Source organism: Homo sapiens, chromosome X (assembly GCF_000001405.40).
Source record: "Homo sapiens chromosome X, GRCh38.p14 Primary Assembly".
NCBI lineage: Eukaryota > Metazoa > Chordata > Mammalia > Primates > Hominidae > Homo > Homo sapiens.
This window is the reverse complement of record NC_000023.11, coordinates 23801843-23816510: the sequence shown is the minus strand read 5'-3', so window position 1 is coordinate 23816510 and position 14668 is coordinate 23801843. Positions and strand designations below refer to the sequence as shown.

The window sequence follows — 14668 nt, the reverse complement described above, 5'->3', positions numbered from 1 at the left end:
ATAAATGAAAGGGATTTAACTTGCTGTAGCAACTCACCTCACCCCTAACCCCAGGGCAGCCCAGCTCCCCGTTCCTTTCAGTCAGGAGGACTCTGGCTCCTTCCTGCCTTCCCAGCTCCTACCTGCAGTTGAAGCAGTGAAACTCCCTGTGGGAAGCAGACCTGCAGGGCTGAGGGAAGTCCTGGAGCATTACGATCCTGAGGAGTTGGGAAGAGGAAGGGCTCATGGGAAATAAATAAGGTAAATGGGGAAGGGTGGGGTGGGGAGAATCCGTGTACGGGAAAGAAAGGAACTAACATGTATTGAGCATCCTTCTAGATTCAGGACATAATAATTTCATTGAATCCTGTTAATCTGAGATGAAGACACTAAAGTCTGGCACAATTAAGTACCGTATCTAAGGCCACATGCCAGAGCAATTTAAATCCCTTGCTCCAAGGAGCCATGTCGTGAAATCCTTTGGGGAAGCCAGATAAGATGGGTCCTGTCCTCAAAAGAGTTTCTAATCTGGGTTGTGAGACAGGCAGACACACAAGTTAGTATATTAAAATTGTAGTAGGTATGACCTCTTGACCAGCTTAAGGTACCAGTGTCACTTTGCTGTAATGAAATTAATTGGTCAAAAACACACATACCCAAATTAGTAGGCAGTCCGGTTTCATATTCTCTCTCTCTCTCTCTGGCTCCCTCTCTTCCCCCCGAGGGGTTTACTAGGTCTGAATGGGTCAGTCCTAAATGAAAGACAGCCATGTGGTCATTACCACCTGATCATCTACTGAAAATTAGTAATCGCAAGGACTGGAGTGGCGGCCAGTCTTTCATACTCCTATAGGTGATTTGTACCCATGGACAAAGCCATTATCCCAGAGGGAGTCCCAGTACACGCCCAGGTGGTTTCAGCCTGAGGCATATACCACCAAACCTGCTGGCCACAGCAATATTTCTAGTTCCACATATTCTTGTAAAACCTTGCCATTCCTCCCACCAAAAGGTAGAGTCTAATTTTCCTCCCTTTGAATATGGGCTGACTTGGCCGGGCGCAGTGGCTCACGCCTGTAATCCTAGTACTCTGGAAAACTGAGACGGGTGGATCACCTGAGGTCAGGAGTTCAAGACCAGCCTGGCCAACATGGTAAAAACCCGTTTCTACTAAAAATACAAAAATTAGCCAGATGTGGTGGCATGCGCCTGTAATCCCAGCTACTCGGGAGGCTGAAGCATGAGAATCGCTTGAACTCGGGAGGTGGAGGTTGCAGTGAGCCAAGATCACGCCACTGCACTCCAGTCTGGGCGACAGAGTGAAACTCTGTCTCAAGAAACAAAAAAAAAGAATATGGGCTGACCTTAGTGACCTCCCCCACAATGACCTGGATGCAGCCAAAGTGATACTGCATGACTTCTGAGGTTAGGTCATAACCTTCCACCCGGTTGTCTCTCGTCATTGTCACCCTCAGAACCCAACCACCATTCTGTGAGGAAATGCAGGCCCCATGGAGAGGAATGGTGCAGGTACCCACTGACAGGCAGCATCACTCAGCAGCTCTGTGACGATGTGAGCCTTCTAGTGATGACAGCCCCCAGCCTTCAAATCTTCCAGCTGAGATGTTATAAGCAGTGAGAACCTGTCCCTGCTGCTGTGCCGTGATGGAATTGCTGACTCACAGAATCTGAGCGTAATAGGTGCTTGTTTTTTGTTTTTTTTTTTAGTTTAGTTTTGTTTTTTTTGTTGTTGTTTTGAGACAGACTCGCACTGTTGCCCAGGCTGGAGTGCAGTGGCGTGATCTTGGCTCACTGCAACCTCTGCCTCCAGGGTTCGAGCGATTGTCCTGCCTCAGCCTCCCAAATAGCTGGGATTACAAGTGTGTGCCACTATGCCCGGCTAATTTTTGTATTTTTAGTAGAGACGAGGTTTCACCATGTTGGCCAGTCTAGTCTCGAACCCCTGAGCTCAGGTGATCCGCCCGCCTCGGCCTCCCAAAGTGCTGGGATTACGGGCGTGAGCCACCACGCCCATCCGGCAAGGGGAGTCTTTAGGAAGCACCATGGCACTGCACTGGCTCCTAGAAGCAGGGAAGAGGAGTCAGGAACTGGGAGGATGCCTTCAGTTACACAAGAAGAGATCATGACAGCAGTCCAAGCTGGGATGCCTTTGGGAGGTAGAGGACTAGTACTCTTCATAGACTGGGTTTCATGCCTTGAGGAGGGGAAGGGGAGAGGGACTGTGGGGTCTGAGACCTCTCCCTTAGTTCTGTATATTTGGAGACCACAGCTGTATCCGTTTGGAATGGGTTCAGATGTGAGTAATAGAGACCTTAAAATTCATGGCAAAAATACAGAATTTATTTCTCAAATAAAAGAAGTTTATACGTAAGCAGTCCAGGACTGGTATGACAGCTCCAGGGACATAAGGGACCCAGGTTTGTTTCAGCTTTTCACATTGCCATTCCTGGGGTATAGTCTTCATCTTTAAGGTCTAAAATGATTGCTGGAGCTCCAGCCATCACATCATAGTTCCAAGAAGCAGAACAGAAGAAGAGAGGAAGGAGTATGTGCCACCTCCCTTCCAAGACTTCCCCAAAGTTCCACCCAATACTTCAGCTTACTCATTGACTGTAACTTAACCTGGCTGCAATGGAGTCTGAAAAATGTAGTCTTTCAGCTGGGAGGCAATATGCTAAGTGAAAAATTGGGATTCTTTTAGTTTGAGAGAGAATTAGAGAGTAGAGATATGGTAGCCAGCTAAAGTCTATACCACAACAGCCTAAAAGCCAGTGTGGGCATGGTCACTAGGAAATCCAGTTCATTCCCTCATTCCCTTTGCATTTAGGGAATGAGCTTGTTTTGATGTGTTCAGTATAAAGATACCAGATATACTTGTCCTATTCATTCAGCAAACACGTACTGAATGTCAGTAAATTGCAGGCATAGAACTGGAGATGAAACGTTAAGACATGGTTTTTAGCCGAGTGCGGTGGCTCATGCTTGTAATCCCAGCACTTTGGGAGGCCAAGGTGGGCAGATCACTAGAGGTCAGGAGTTCAAGACCAGCCTGGCCAACATGGTGAAACCCCGTCTCTACAAAAAAATGCAAAAATTAGCTGAGAAGGTTGTAGTGAGCTGAGATCGCACCATTGCACTCCAGCCTGGGCAACAGAGCAAGACGCCATCTCAAAAAAAAAAAAAAAAAAAAAAGACATAGCTTTTTTTTTTTTTTTTTTGAGACAGTTTCGCTATTGTTGCCCAGGCTGGAGTGCAATGGTGTGATCTTGGCTCACGGTAAACTCCACCTCCCGGGTTCAAGCGATTCTCCTGTCTCAGCCTTCAGAGTAGCTGGGATTACAAGCATGTGCCACCACACCCAGCTAATTTTGTATTTTTAGTAGAGACAAGTTTCTCCATGTTGGCCAGGCTGGTCTCAAACTCCCAACTTCAGGTGATCCGCCCACCTCGGCCTCCCAAAGTGCTAGGATTATAGGCATGAGCCACCTTGCCCAGCCTGACATGGTTTTTAATCTTCAAAATCTCACAGTCTGGTGGATATTTGCTGTTTTTGTCTTCCCAGGACTCATTTCCCCTTCATCTGATAAGCCCTCTTTCCACTGAGAAATATATTCTATGTGCTTTGGATGAGTTTGACTGTATTCCTCCTCCATAATCAAGGGATGGAATGACAAGAGCCTGGTGACTATTTACTCTTGGATCTAGTCATGACTAAAGTCAGATCCGACGACTTTCCAGTTGTTTGGACCAAACACATTCCTTTTTTTTTTTCTGAGACAGAGTTTCGTTCTTGTTGCCCAGGCTGGAGTGCCGTGGTGCGATGTTGGCTCACTGCAACCTCCGCCTCCTAGGTTCAAGTGATTCTCCTGCCTCAGCCTCCTGAGTAGCTGGGATTACAGGCATGCACCACCACGCCCAGCTAATTTTTGTATTTTTAGTAGAGATGGGGTTTCACCATGTTGGTCAGGCTGGTCTCAAACTCCTGACCTCGTGATCTGTCTGCCTTGGCCTCCCAAAGCACTGGGATTGCAGGCTTGAGCCACTGTGCCTGGCTTTATTTATTTATTTATTTATTTTTGCTTAGTTTGAGTTGCTTTCTCTCACTTGCAACCATAGGTCCTGTTTAATCAGTTATTTTCCATAAGATAGAAATTACTGGCCGGGCGCAGTGGCTCACGCCTGTAATCCCAGCACTTTGGGAGGCTGAGGTGGGCAAATCACTTGAGGTCAGGAGTTCAAGACCAGTCTGGCCAACATGGTGAAACCCCATCTCTACTAAAAATGCAAAAAAAAAAAAAATTAGCTGGGCATGGTGGTGTGTGCCTATAATCCCAGCTACTCGAGAGGCTGAGGCAGGAGAATGGCTTGAACCCAGGAGGCAGAGGTTGTAGTGAGCAGAGATTGTGCCACTGCACTCCAGCCTGCGCTATAGAGACTCCGTCTCCAAAAAAAAAAGGAAAATAAAGTACTATACAAAGGAATATAGGTATAGGTGTCATCTCTGCCTTCCGTTGTCATAAATTTTCATTTTAGCCTGCAATTGCGTTAAAACCTGCAAGACTATTTTTACAGGTTTTACCCATTTCCCAAATTTGGGCCTGCCCATGCTATCAGTACTGCTCTTGAGGCCGCTTACTCCAACTCTACACACGCATGTCCTTAAAACAGCTGTGACACCCCTCGAAGAGAGGAAATGTGGGTCATATCTTGTTGGGGGAAGAGAGGAGGTTATGACATTTTAGCCAACACTGAGAACCCATCAAATATGGAATGCAGGGTGAATATCTATTGTTTAAATCTGAAGGGAGCTGTTTCCCTGAAGGGGAAAAAGTTCGATTTAGTACTAAGAATAGAGCAAGAGAAACATCGGCTCAGTGCCTTCAGCTGAGAAATGAATTTCATTAGAGTCACAGTTATTGTCTATTGTTCCCATTGGTTGTTCTGGTTGGGCTGAGATCTGATTTTCACTTCAATTCTCACAGTCGGCATTATTACTTCCCTTTGTGTAACCTTTGGGAAGAAATTCAATATGAATCAGATTTTGTTTTTAGCCCCCGCCAAAGAGGGACTTTTTTTTTTTAATACAATGAGAACAGACTCAGCCTTAGATCAAAATACTTATGTCACAATGGAAGATCTTTTAGGAGTACGATTGCGTCCTCTGCCTTTCATTGTTTCATAATCTGCGATTGCACGTCTCTTCCCGTCCCTAATTTAGAGCGGGTGCGCCTGCTGCTTAAACCCTTTGACTTCTTTCAACTCAGGCTTCCTCTTTTCTAATTTTTTTCTCACCATATTTGCAAACCTGAGATTTATTACTGGCTGCTTCCCAGTCAAGGGAACATGCAAATCTCTCAGACTTCAAGGGAACATCCCAGTTTTTGACTCTCAGCCTTTCTTGTTCTACGGGCTGAGTTTGGATCTTTAGTCTTCCCAGAGATTCTGTGAGTGGTGAGATAGGCTTCCCAAATTTTCTTCCCTCGAGTTACCTAAATTCTGTTTCTGATGTTTGAAACCAAGATTTTTTTTGTGTGTGGTAAAAAACACATAAAATGTACCATCTTAACCATTTTAAGGTATATATTTCAGTAGGGTTAACTATATGCAAATTGTGAGACAGATCTCCAGAACTTTTTCATCTCGCAAAACTGAAACTCCGTACCTATTAAATAACTCCCCATTTCTCCCTCCCTCCAACTCCTGGCGACCACTATTCTAAACTCTGTCTCTACAAATTTGTCTACTCTAGACACCTCATATAAGTGGAATCAGACAGCATTTGTGTTTTTGTGATGAACTTATTTCACTTAGCATAATGTCCTCAAGGTTCATCCATGATTTAGCATGTGACAGGATTTCCTTTTTTATTTTTTGACTTTTTGTAGACATGGGGGTCTCTCCATGTTGCTCAGGCTAGTCTCGAACTCCTGGGCTAAAGCAATCCTCCTACCTTGGCCTCCCAAAGTGTTGGGATTACAGGTGTGAGCCGCCACCATGCCTAGCTAGGATTTCCTTTTTAAGGCAGAATAATATTCCATTGTATGGACAATACCACATTTTGTTTATCCATTCATCCATCAATGGACATTTGGGTTGGTTCTACCTCTTGGCTGTTGTGAATAATGCTGCCATGAAAACCATAGGTGTGCAAATATCTCTTCGAGATCCTGCTTTCAGTTCTTTTGGCTATATACCCAGAAGTGGGATTGCTGGATCAGATGGTAATTCTATTTTATTATTTTGACACAGGGTCTCACTCTGTTGCCCAGGTTGGAGTTCAGTGATGCAATCTTGGATCACTGTAGCATTGAACTCCTGGGCTCAAGTGATCCTCCCACCTTAGCCTCCTGAGTAGCTGCGACCACAGTTGTGCACCACCACACCTGGCTAATTGTTTAATTTTTTTTTTATGAAGATGGAGTCCCACTATGTTGCCTAGGCTGGTCTTGAATCCCTGACCTCAAGCAATCCTCCCACCTTGGCCTTCCAAGGTGTTGGAATTACAGGTGTGAGCCACCACACCCAGCAGGTAGTTCTATTTTTAATTTTTTGAGGAACCACTATACCGTTTTCATCTTTTGGTTTTTAACTCAGATACCTAAGTTTTAATCTGTTTGTTGATTAAGAAGTGTACGTCAGGCCAGGCACCGTGGGTCATGCCTGTAATCCCAGCACTTTGGGAGGCCGAGGCATGCGGATCACCTGAGGTCAGGAGTTTGAGACCAGCCTGACCAACATGGTGAAACCCTGTCTCTACTAAAAATGCAAAAATTAGCCGGGCGTGGTGGTGCGTGCCTGTAGTCCCAGCTACTTGGGAGGCTGAGTCAGGAGAATCGCTTGAACCCAGGAGGCTGAGGTTTCAGTGAGCAAAGATCATGCAACTGCACTCCAGCCTGGGCAACAGAGTGAGACTCTGTCTAAAAAAAAGAAAAAAGAAAAAGAAGTGTATGTCAAGGAAACACCAATATTTTGTCACACAATGAGAAAAAAATGGGTGGAGCAGAATTTATATCAAATTGAAATTACAAAATGAAATTATAGCAACCTTCCAGTAGTGGGCCTTTCATTTTGAGATCAGACTCTTCAAAATTTAGCTTCATTTTCAATCTATGATTTTTCACTTCTTTGTACTGTTTTTGGTCTCGTCTCATCAAACTTCATTTCCTCTACTAGAATGAATTCTCAGAGATAAAGAGGAGTTAGAAATCTACTTTTTTCTCCTTTGGAGCTCTCTTTAATTATTAGGTGAAATAAAACTAGACAAAAAACAAAGCTACTGCATGCCCACCATTACATATTTTTATGGCTAATATTATGTATACTTTTGTTCAGACAGATGGTGCTGTTAAGAAGGAAACTTCTAGCTGGGCACAGTGGCTCATGCCTGTAATCACAGCACTTTGGGAGGCCGAGGCGGGCGGATAACAAGGTCAAGAGTTCGAGACCAGCCTGGCCAAGAGACCAGCCTGGCCAATATGGCAAAACCCCGTCTCTACTAAAAATACAAAAATTAGCTAAGCGTGGTGGCGGGCGCCTGTAATCCCAGCTACTCGGGAGGCTGAGGCAGGAGAATTGCTTGAACCCGGGAGGTGGAGGTTGCAGTGAGCCGAGATCGCGCCATTGCACTCCAGCCTGGGCGACAGAGCGAGACTCCAACTCAAAAAAAAAAAAAAAAAAAAAAGAAGGAAACTTCTTGATCGAGCTCTGCTGTTCTATACCTTTACACCAAAGTACTCTGATTGTTTGTTAAAATACACACACATGGCCGGGCGCGGTGGCTCACACCTGTAATCCCAGCACTTTGGGAGGCCAAGGTGGGCAGATCATGAGGTCAGGAGATCGAGACCATCCTGGCCAACATGGTGAAACCCAGTCTCTACTAAAAATACAAAAATTAGCTGGGCATGGTGGCGGGCGCCTGTAGTCCCAGCTACTCAGGAGGCTGAGGCAGGAGATTTGCTTGAACCTGGGAGGCAGAGGTTGCAGTGAGCTGAGATCGTGCCACTGCAGTCCAGCCTGGTGACAGAGCGAGACTCTGTCTCAAAACACACACACACACACACACAAACACACACGCACACGGTCCAATCTCTTTTTTTGTTTTGTTTCTTGAGACACAGCCTCACTCTGTCACCCAGGCTGGAGTGCAGTGGTGTGATCTCGGCTCACTGCAACCCCCTGCCTCCTGGGTTCAAGCGATTCTCCTGTCTCAGCCTCCCAGTACCTGGGATTGCAAGCATGCACCACCAGGCCCAGCTAATTTTTGTATTTTTAGTAGAGACAACGTTTCACCATTTTGGCCAGGCTGGTCTCGAACTCCTGGCCTCAAGCAGTGACTCGACCTCCCAAAGTGCTGGGATGACAGGATGACAGGCGTAAGCCACTGCGCCCGGCCAGAACTTTGCATGTTTCAAAGAACTCCAGGTAGGCTTTTTTTTTTTTTTTTTTTTTGAGATGGAGTCTCGCTCTGTCACTCAGGCTGGAGTGCAAGTGGTGCGATCTTGGCTCACTGCAACCTCTGCCACCCAGGTGCAAGCGATCCTCCTGCCTCAGCCTCCTGAGTAGCTGGGACTACAGGCACGAGCCACCACACCTGGCCAGGCTGGTCTTGAACTCCTGACCTCGTGATCCGCCTGCCTCGGCTTCTCAAGGTGCTGGGATTACAGCAGTGAGCCACCGTGCCCGGCCTCCAGGTAGGCTCTTACTTGGAGTGTCCACTTGTAGGTTCCCACGCAGTTTTGCTTCTAGTGGTTCTAGTGAGTATTGAAAGCTAATGACTCACCGGAATGTTTACTCTTTTAATTCTTTTAACAGTCCGCCTGCCGGTCTCCTTCTACCTTTGATGTTAACTGGCTAACACTGTGGTTCATTTCCTGTTATTTGCAACTTTGGAATTAAACTCATACATGAAATCAAAGCAAATGAAAGGCGCAGGTCAGCTATCCTGTTAAGGGCTACAGCTGTGGTTCTGGAAGCTTCCAGTCCAACAACTAGCTTGTTTTCCCTCCTCCCCGCCCCCTGTGGAGGCCTCTCTTTCTTAGGCAGGGTAATTAAGGTTGGCCTAAGGCTTTCTAAGCAAATGTGTGTTCTGCACCAGTGGTTAGTTTTTCCTACACTGAGTCACATATCTTGCTGCTAGGGAAATCTATTTGACAAGACTCAAGTGGAGAATTTGTCACAGTTTGTTTAGCATGTAAGGCCTTGTCCTTGAATGCCCTTTACCCCTTAGATTCTGGATATAATGATATGGTGGTACACGTTTGCTTATTAGCTGGTGGGAGGGGGTGAAGAGGAGTCTTTATGGGCAGTCGTTTTCTTTTCTTTTTCTTTTTTTTGGGAGGAGACGGTCTTGCTCTGCCGTCCAGGCTGGAGTGCAGTGGCGCGATCTCGGCTCATTGCAAGCTCCCCCTCCCGGGTTCAAGCAATTCTTCTGCCTCAGCCTCCCAAGTAGCTGGGATTACAGGCATCTGCCACCACGCTTGACTAATGTTTGTATTTTCAGTAGAGACGGGGTTTCGCCATGTTGGCCAGGCTGGTCTCGAACTCCTGAGCTCAGGTGATCCGCCCACCTCGGCCTCCCAAAGTGCTGGGATTACAGGCTTGAGCCACTGTGCCTGGCCATGGGCAGTCGTTTTCTTACACAGAATTTGGAGTCAGAGGTACTTGTTTTCATCTGTTTACAACCGGTTCAACATTCCAAGGTCATAAACTTACACATCTACCTCATAAATTGCTTGTACAGATTAAACAAGATAATGTAAGTTATGTGCAATAAATGTTGTTCCTCGATAGCCGCCTATTTAATCACGTATTAGAAAAACATTCTCAGCCAGGCGCGGTGGCTCATGCCTGTAATCCCAGCACTTTGGGAGCCCGAGGTGGGTGGATCACGAGGTCAGGAGATGGAGACCATCCTGGCCAACATTGTGAAACCCCGTCTCTACTAAAAACGTGGTGGCAGGTGCTTGTAATCCCAGCTACTCGGGGGGCTGAGGCAGGAGAATCACTTGACCCCTGGAGGCGGAACTTGCAGTGAGCCGAGATCGTGCCACTGCACTCCAGACTGGTGACAGAGCAAGACTCCATCTCAAAAAACAAAAAAAGAAAAAAAAAAAAGAAAAAGAAAAAAAGAAAAACATTCTCGCTGTATTATAGTTTCTGTCATAAGAAAAGAATCAAATTGGCCAGGCGTGGTGGCTCACGCCTGTAATCCCAGCACTTTGGGAAGCCAAGGTAGGCAGATCGAGACCATCTGGCTAACACGGTGAAACCCCGTCTCTACTAAAAATACAAAAAATTAGCAGGGTGTGGTGGCGGGCGCCTGTATTCCCAGCTACTCGGGAGGCTGAGGCAGGAAAATGGCGTGAACCCGGGAGGCGGAGCTTGCAGTGAGCCGAGATCGTGACACTGCACTCCAGCCTGGGCGACAGAGGGAGACTCCGTCTCAAAAAAAAAAAAATCAAATTTAGGCTGGGCACGGTGGCTCAAGCCTGTAATCCCCAGCACTTTGGGAGGCCGAGGCAGGTGCATCACGAAGTCAGGAGTTCAAGACCAGCCTGGCCAAAACGGTGAAACCCCCGTCTCTACTAAAAATACAAAAATTAGCCAGGCGTGGTGGCGCACACCTGTAATCCTAGCTACTCAGGAGGCTGAGGCAGAAGAATTGCTTGAACCCGGGAGGTGGAGGTTGCATTGAGCTGAGATTGCACCACTGCACTCCAGCCTGGGCGACAGAGCAAGAATCTGTCTCAGAAAAAAGACAAAAAAAAAAGGATCAAATTTACCAAGTCTTATCTGGTACTCTACTACATGCCAGGCCTGCGGGTGCTGTGAAAGGTAGGAGGCAGAAAAAAGCATAACATGACATGCTGGCAAGCCGTTTAGGACTCAGGCAGGGAGGAAAGCTACGCCATGTGATCTATTAAGCAATACGGGTCAGTCTATAAGTAAGAGGTACAGTTCTGAGTGGGACTGAGCCCTGTGACCTGGGGTGGAGTCTTGCGCTGGGAGTTCAAGGACTGAGAACGGAATAGGAATTCCCGAAAAAAGAAATCGGTCAGGCTTGGTGGCTCACACCTATAGTCCCAGCACTTTGGGGGACCTAGGTGGGCAGATCACTTGAAGTCAGGAGTTCAAGACCAGCCTGGGCAACACAGGGAGACCCTGTCTCTACAAAAAATAAAAAAAATTAGCCGGGCATAGTGGTGCGCACCTGCAGTTGCAGCTACTTGGGAGGCTGAGGTGGGAGGATCATTTGAGCCCAAGAGGTCGAGGTTGCAGTAAGCCGATATCACACCACTGCCCTCCAGCCTGGGCAACAGAGCGAGACCCTGTCAAAAAAAAAGAAAGAAAGGGCCGAGCACAGTAGCTCACGCCTGTAATCCCAGCACTTTGGGAGGCCAAGGCAGGTGAATCACACGAGGTCAGGAGTTCAAGACCAGCCTGGCCAACATGGTGAGACCCTGTCTCTACTAAAAATACGAAAATTGGCTGGGCATGGTGGCGGGTGCCTGTAATCCCAGCTACTCAGGAGGCTGAGGCAGGAGAATCGCTTGAACCCAGGAGGCAAAGATTGCAGTGAGCCAAGATTGCCAACTGCACTCCATCCTGGGCAACAAGAGCGAAACTCTGTATCAAAAAAAAAAAGAAAGGAGGGAGGGAGGGAGAAAGGAAAGAGGAAGGAAGGAAAGAAGGAAGGAAGGAAGGAGAGAGAGAGAGAAAGAGAAAGAAGGAAAGAAAGAAAGAAAAAGAGAGAAAGAAAGAAAAGGAAAGGGGAAAGGAAAAAGGAAAGGAAAGGAAGAGAGAGATCATAAACTGCTGCTGCGCTGTTATGTCAATGCTTGGCTCAGATTCCCACAGGTCTTGAATGTGCAGGAGAGTCAAAACTCTCTTCTCTTAGTGTCCTGGCTGAGCCTGAGAATTAAATTGACATAAAGTATATTAACAGGAGAAAAGCGTACTAATTTAATGTAAGTTTTATGTGACTCAGGAGCCCTGGGAAGGAAATGAAGACCCAAAGAAGTGACAAAACCAACAGGCTTTTGTATTAGGTTGAACAAAGAGAGGCAGTTGTGGAAAAGTAACTAAATTATGTGGGGAGTTTGTTAAAGGAAGGTAAGAATTAGTTTCACAAAGTATGTTTGTACAGGATTCTCAGAGCTGTGACTCCCCGGGGAAGAATGTTACTTTTTTCCTGGTACAGGGAGGGCATGTTCACATGGGAGTTTCTCTCTCCTGTTTGCAGGAAGCAAAGGGGAGATTAGAATGCCCTTCTTGTATCTGCTGTTTTTCAAGTGCCTTTAGCTTGAAGTAATCCTTACGTCATGGTGGCATATTTTGGCATAGAGTATTCTGCCACCCTTCAGCTGCATTTTGTAGCAGGCGCACCCTCAAGGCAAGGAAGATGACAGCCAACAGTCCCAGGCTACAGCCTCCAGCTTGCGAACTATTGCGAAATAGTGTTAGCCATGAAATCCTGGCTTGGCCCAGTTTGCCCAGCCCTGAGCCAACTCTTTGGGATGGTCTTGGAGAGGGGCAGGGCATCATGACTGATCATTGTACCAGGTAACCATGCAAGCAGTAGAGGAGTTCTCCAAACGAATGAAAGGAAATGGGGGCACTTTGGGAGGCCGAGGCGGGTGGATCACCTGACGTCAGGAGTTCCTGGCCAACATGGTGAAACCGTCTCTACTAAAAATACAAAAAATTAGCCGGGCATGGTGGCGGGTGCCTGTAATCTCAGCTACTCAGAAGGCTGAGGCAGGAGCTTCACTTGAACCCAAGAGATGGAGGTTGCAGTAAGCTGAGATGTCGGCACTGCACTCCAGCCTGGGCAACAGCAGTGAGACTCCATCTCAAAAAAAAAAAAAAAAAAAAAAAGTTTAATATGTTGCTCATTTCTCAGCCCTTGCTGTTCAGCACATTTTCCCCACAGGTTCTGACAACTCTGTTTTTTTTCCTGCTCGCTTTCCTTGTCCTACTTGCAAATCATGTGATTCTACTTTTCAGTGCTTTCTCTTTCTCTTCATCTTCCTTATCCTTTGGACTCTTCATTAGGGCTTGTTTTGGACTTTTTCTAAAACAAAGCACTAATAATGAAAACCTTTCCTAAAAGTTGTTAGGGTACTGTATGCAATGTATACTGGGATAATTGGGCCTGTTACCCTAGGAACCACCCCAGACTGCCCCCTAAGAGTATAGGTGGGAGTGTACAGATTGTGATGATGATATGATTCTGTTTTATAAAATGAAAGAAGTTAGACATGAATCCAACAGCATCAGCCACAACAGCTTCAAAAAGAAGTCTTCCATATAAATAATTCATATTAAAAGATTTTTTTTTCAGTTAGAATAAATAATCCCCTTCTAAACCTTTAAATCATCCAGAAAACATATTTGATGTTTCTGTCCCCAAGTATATACGTGTGTTTTATTTTTTATTTTATTTTATTTTTTGAGACGGACTCTCGCTCTGTCACCCAGGCTGGAGTGCAGTGGCATGATTTTGGCTCACTGCTACTTCTGCCTCCTGGGCTCAAGTGATTCCCCTGCCTCAGCCTCCCAAGTAAGTGGGATTACAAGTATGTGCCACCATGCCTGGCTAATTTTTATATTTTTAGTAGAGATGGGGTTTTACCATGTTGGCCGGACTGGTCTCAAACTCCTGGCCTCAAGTGATCCGCCTGCCTTGGCCTCCCAAAGTGCTGGGATTACACGTGTGAGCCACCGCACCCAGCCTATATGTGAGTTTTATATTCTTTGTTTATTTTCAGTACTCAAATAGTAAAGGCAAAGGTTTATCTGAGTTCTGATGATAGCTTCCTTAACAGGAAATGAAACTGCCAATGTTCCACAAAGCAGACAAAGTACCTAATTTGTTGAAAAAAATCATGCTGAATCACCAGAATAAAACTGTCTTAAGCGTAATCAACTGAACATTTGTGTGTAACTATTTTTAAAATTAACTTGCCTTCAAAATTAAATGGCTCTATAGACAGTCATGTAATGGTGTGATCCACAATTTAAAATGTATTTTTAGAATTTCCGACTTACGTGCTGATTAGAAAACCTGCAAGTCACAATCATTTGACATTCTGGAATAGGGCAGTTGGAGTTGGAAGTGGGAAGAAAAGTCACTGGAAAATTTTAAGAACAAAGTAATGTTAGGCCATATATACTACTTTTTATTTCTGTATAGTCTGAATTGTTTGTGAACTGCTTTTACTTTAACACGATTAGAAAATTGCATAGCTTTACACACTGTCAAAGGTTTTTGGAGGGCTTGTTTTTATTTATATTTATATTTATATTTATTTATTTATTTATTTTTGTAGAGACAGGGTCCCACTGTGTTGTGCAGGCTGGTCTTGAACTCCTGGCCTCAAGCAATCCTCCTGCTTTGACCACCCAAAGTGCTGGGATTACTGGCGTGAGCCACTGAGCCTAGCCTTGTTTTGTTTTTTAATTTTATTTATTTTTATTTTTATTTTTGAGATGGTGTCTCGCTCTGTCGCCCAGGCTGGAGCACAGTGGCACGATCTCGGCTCACTGCAACCTCCACCTCTCGGGTTCAAGCGATTCTTCTGCCTCAGCCTCCCGAGTAGCTGGGACTACACGTGTGCGCCACCATGCCCAGCTAATTTTTGTATTTTTAGTAGAGACGAGGCTT

At 45.8% G+C, this 14668-nt stretch overlaps 3 annotated features.

The window, feature by feature from the left end:
* Positions 8235-9434: an enhancer, noted in NCBI's record as "P300/CBP strongly-dependent group 1 enhancer chrX:23825194-23826393 (GRCh37/hg19 assembly coordinates)". NCBI's record gives its function as "activates an origin of replication core promoter dependent on BRD2, BRD4, P300/CBP, MED14 and CDK7 cofactors, with strong dependence on P300/CBP, by STARR-seq in HCT116 cells {active_cell/tissue: HCT116}" and the evidence as "EXISTENCE:reporter gene assay evidence [ECO:0000049][PMID:35650434]".
* Positions 8235-10040: a biological region, named in NCBI's record as "P300/CBP strongly-dependent group 1 enhancer GRCh37_chrX:23825194-23826393".
* Positions 9042-10040: an enhancer, noted in NCBI's record as "NANOG-H3K27ac-H3K4me1 hESC enhancer chrX:23824588-23825586 (GRCh37/hg19 assembly coordinates)". NCBI's record gives its function as "activates a minimal SCP1, AML or CMV promoter by ChIP-STARR-seq in primed H9 embryonic stem cells {active_cell/tissue: H9 hESC(primed)}" and the evidence as "EXISTENCE:reporter gene assay evidence [ECO:0000049][PMID:30033119]".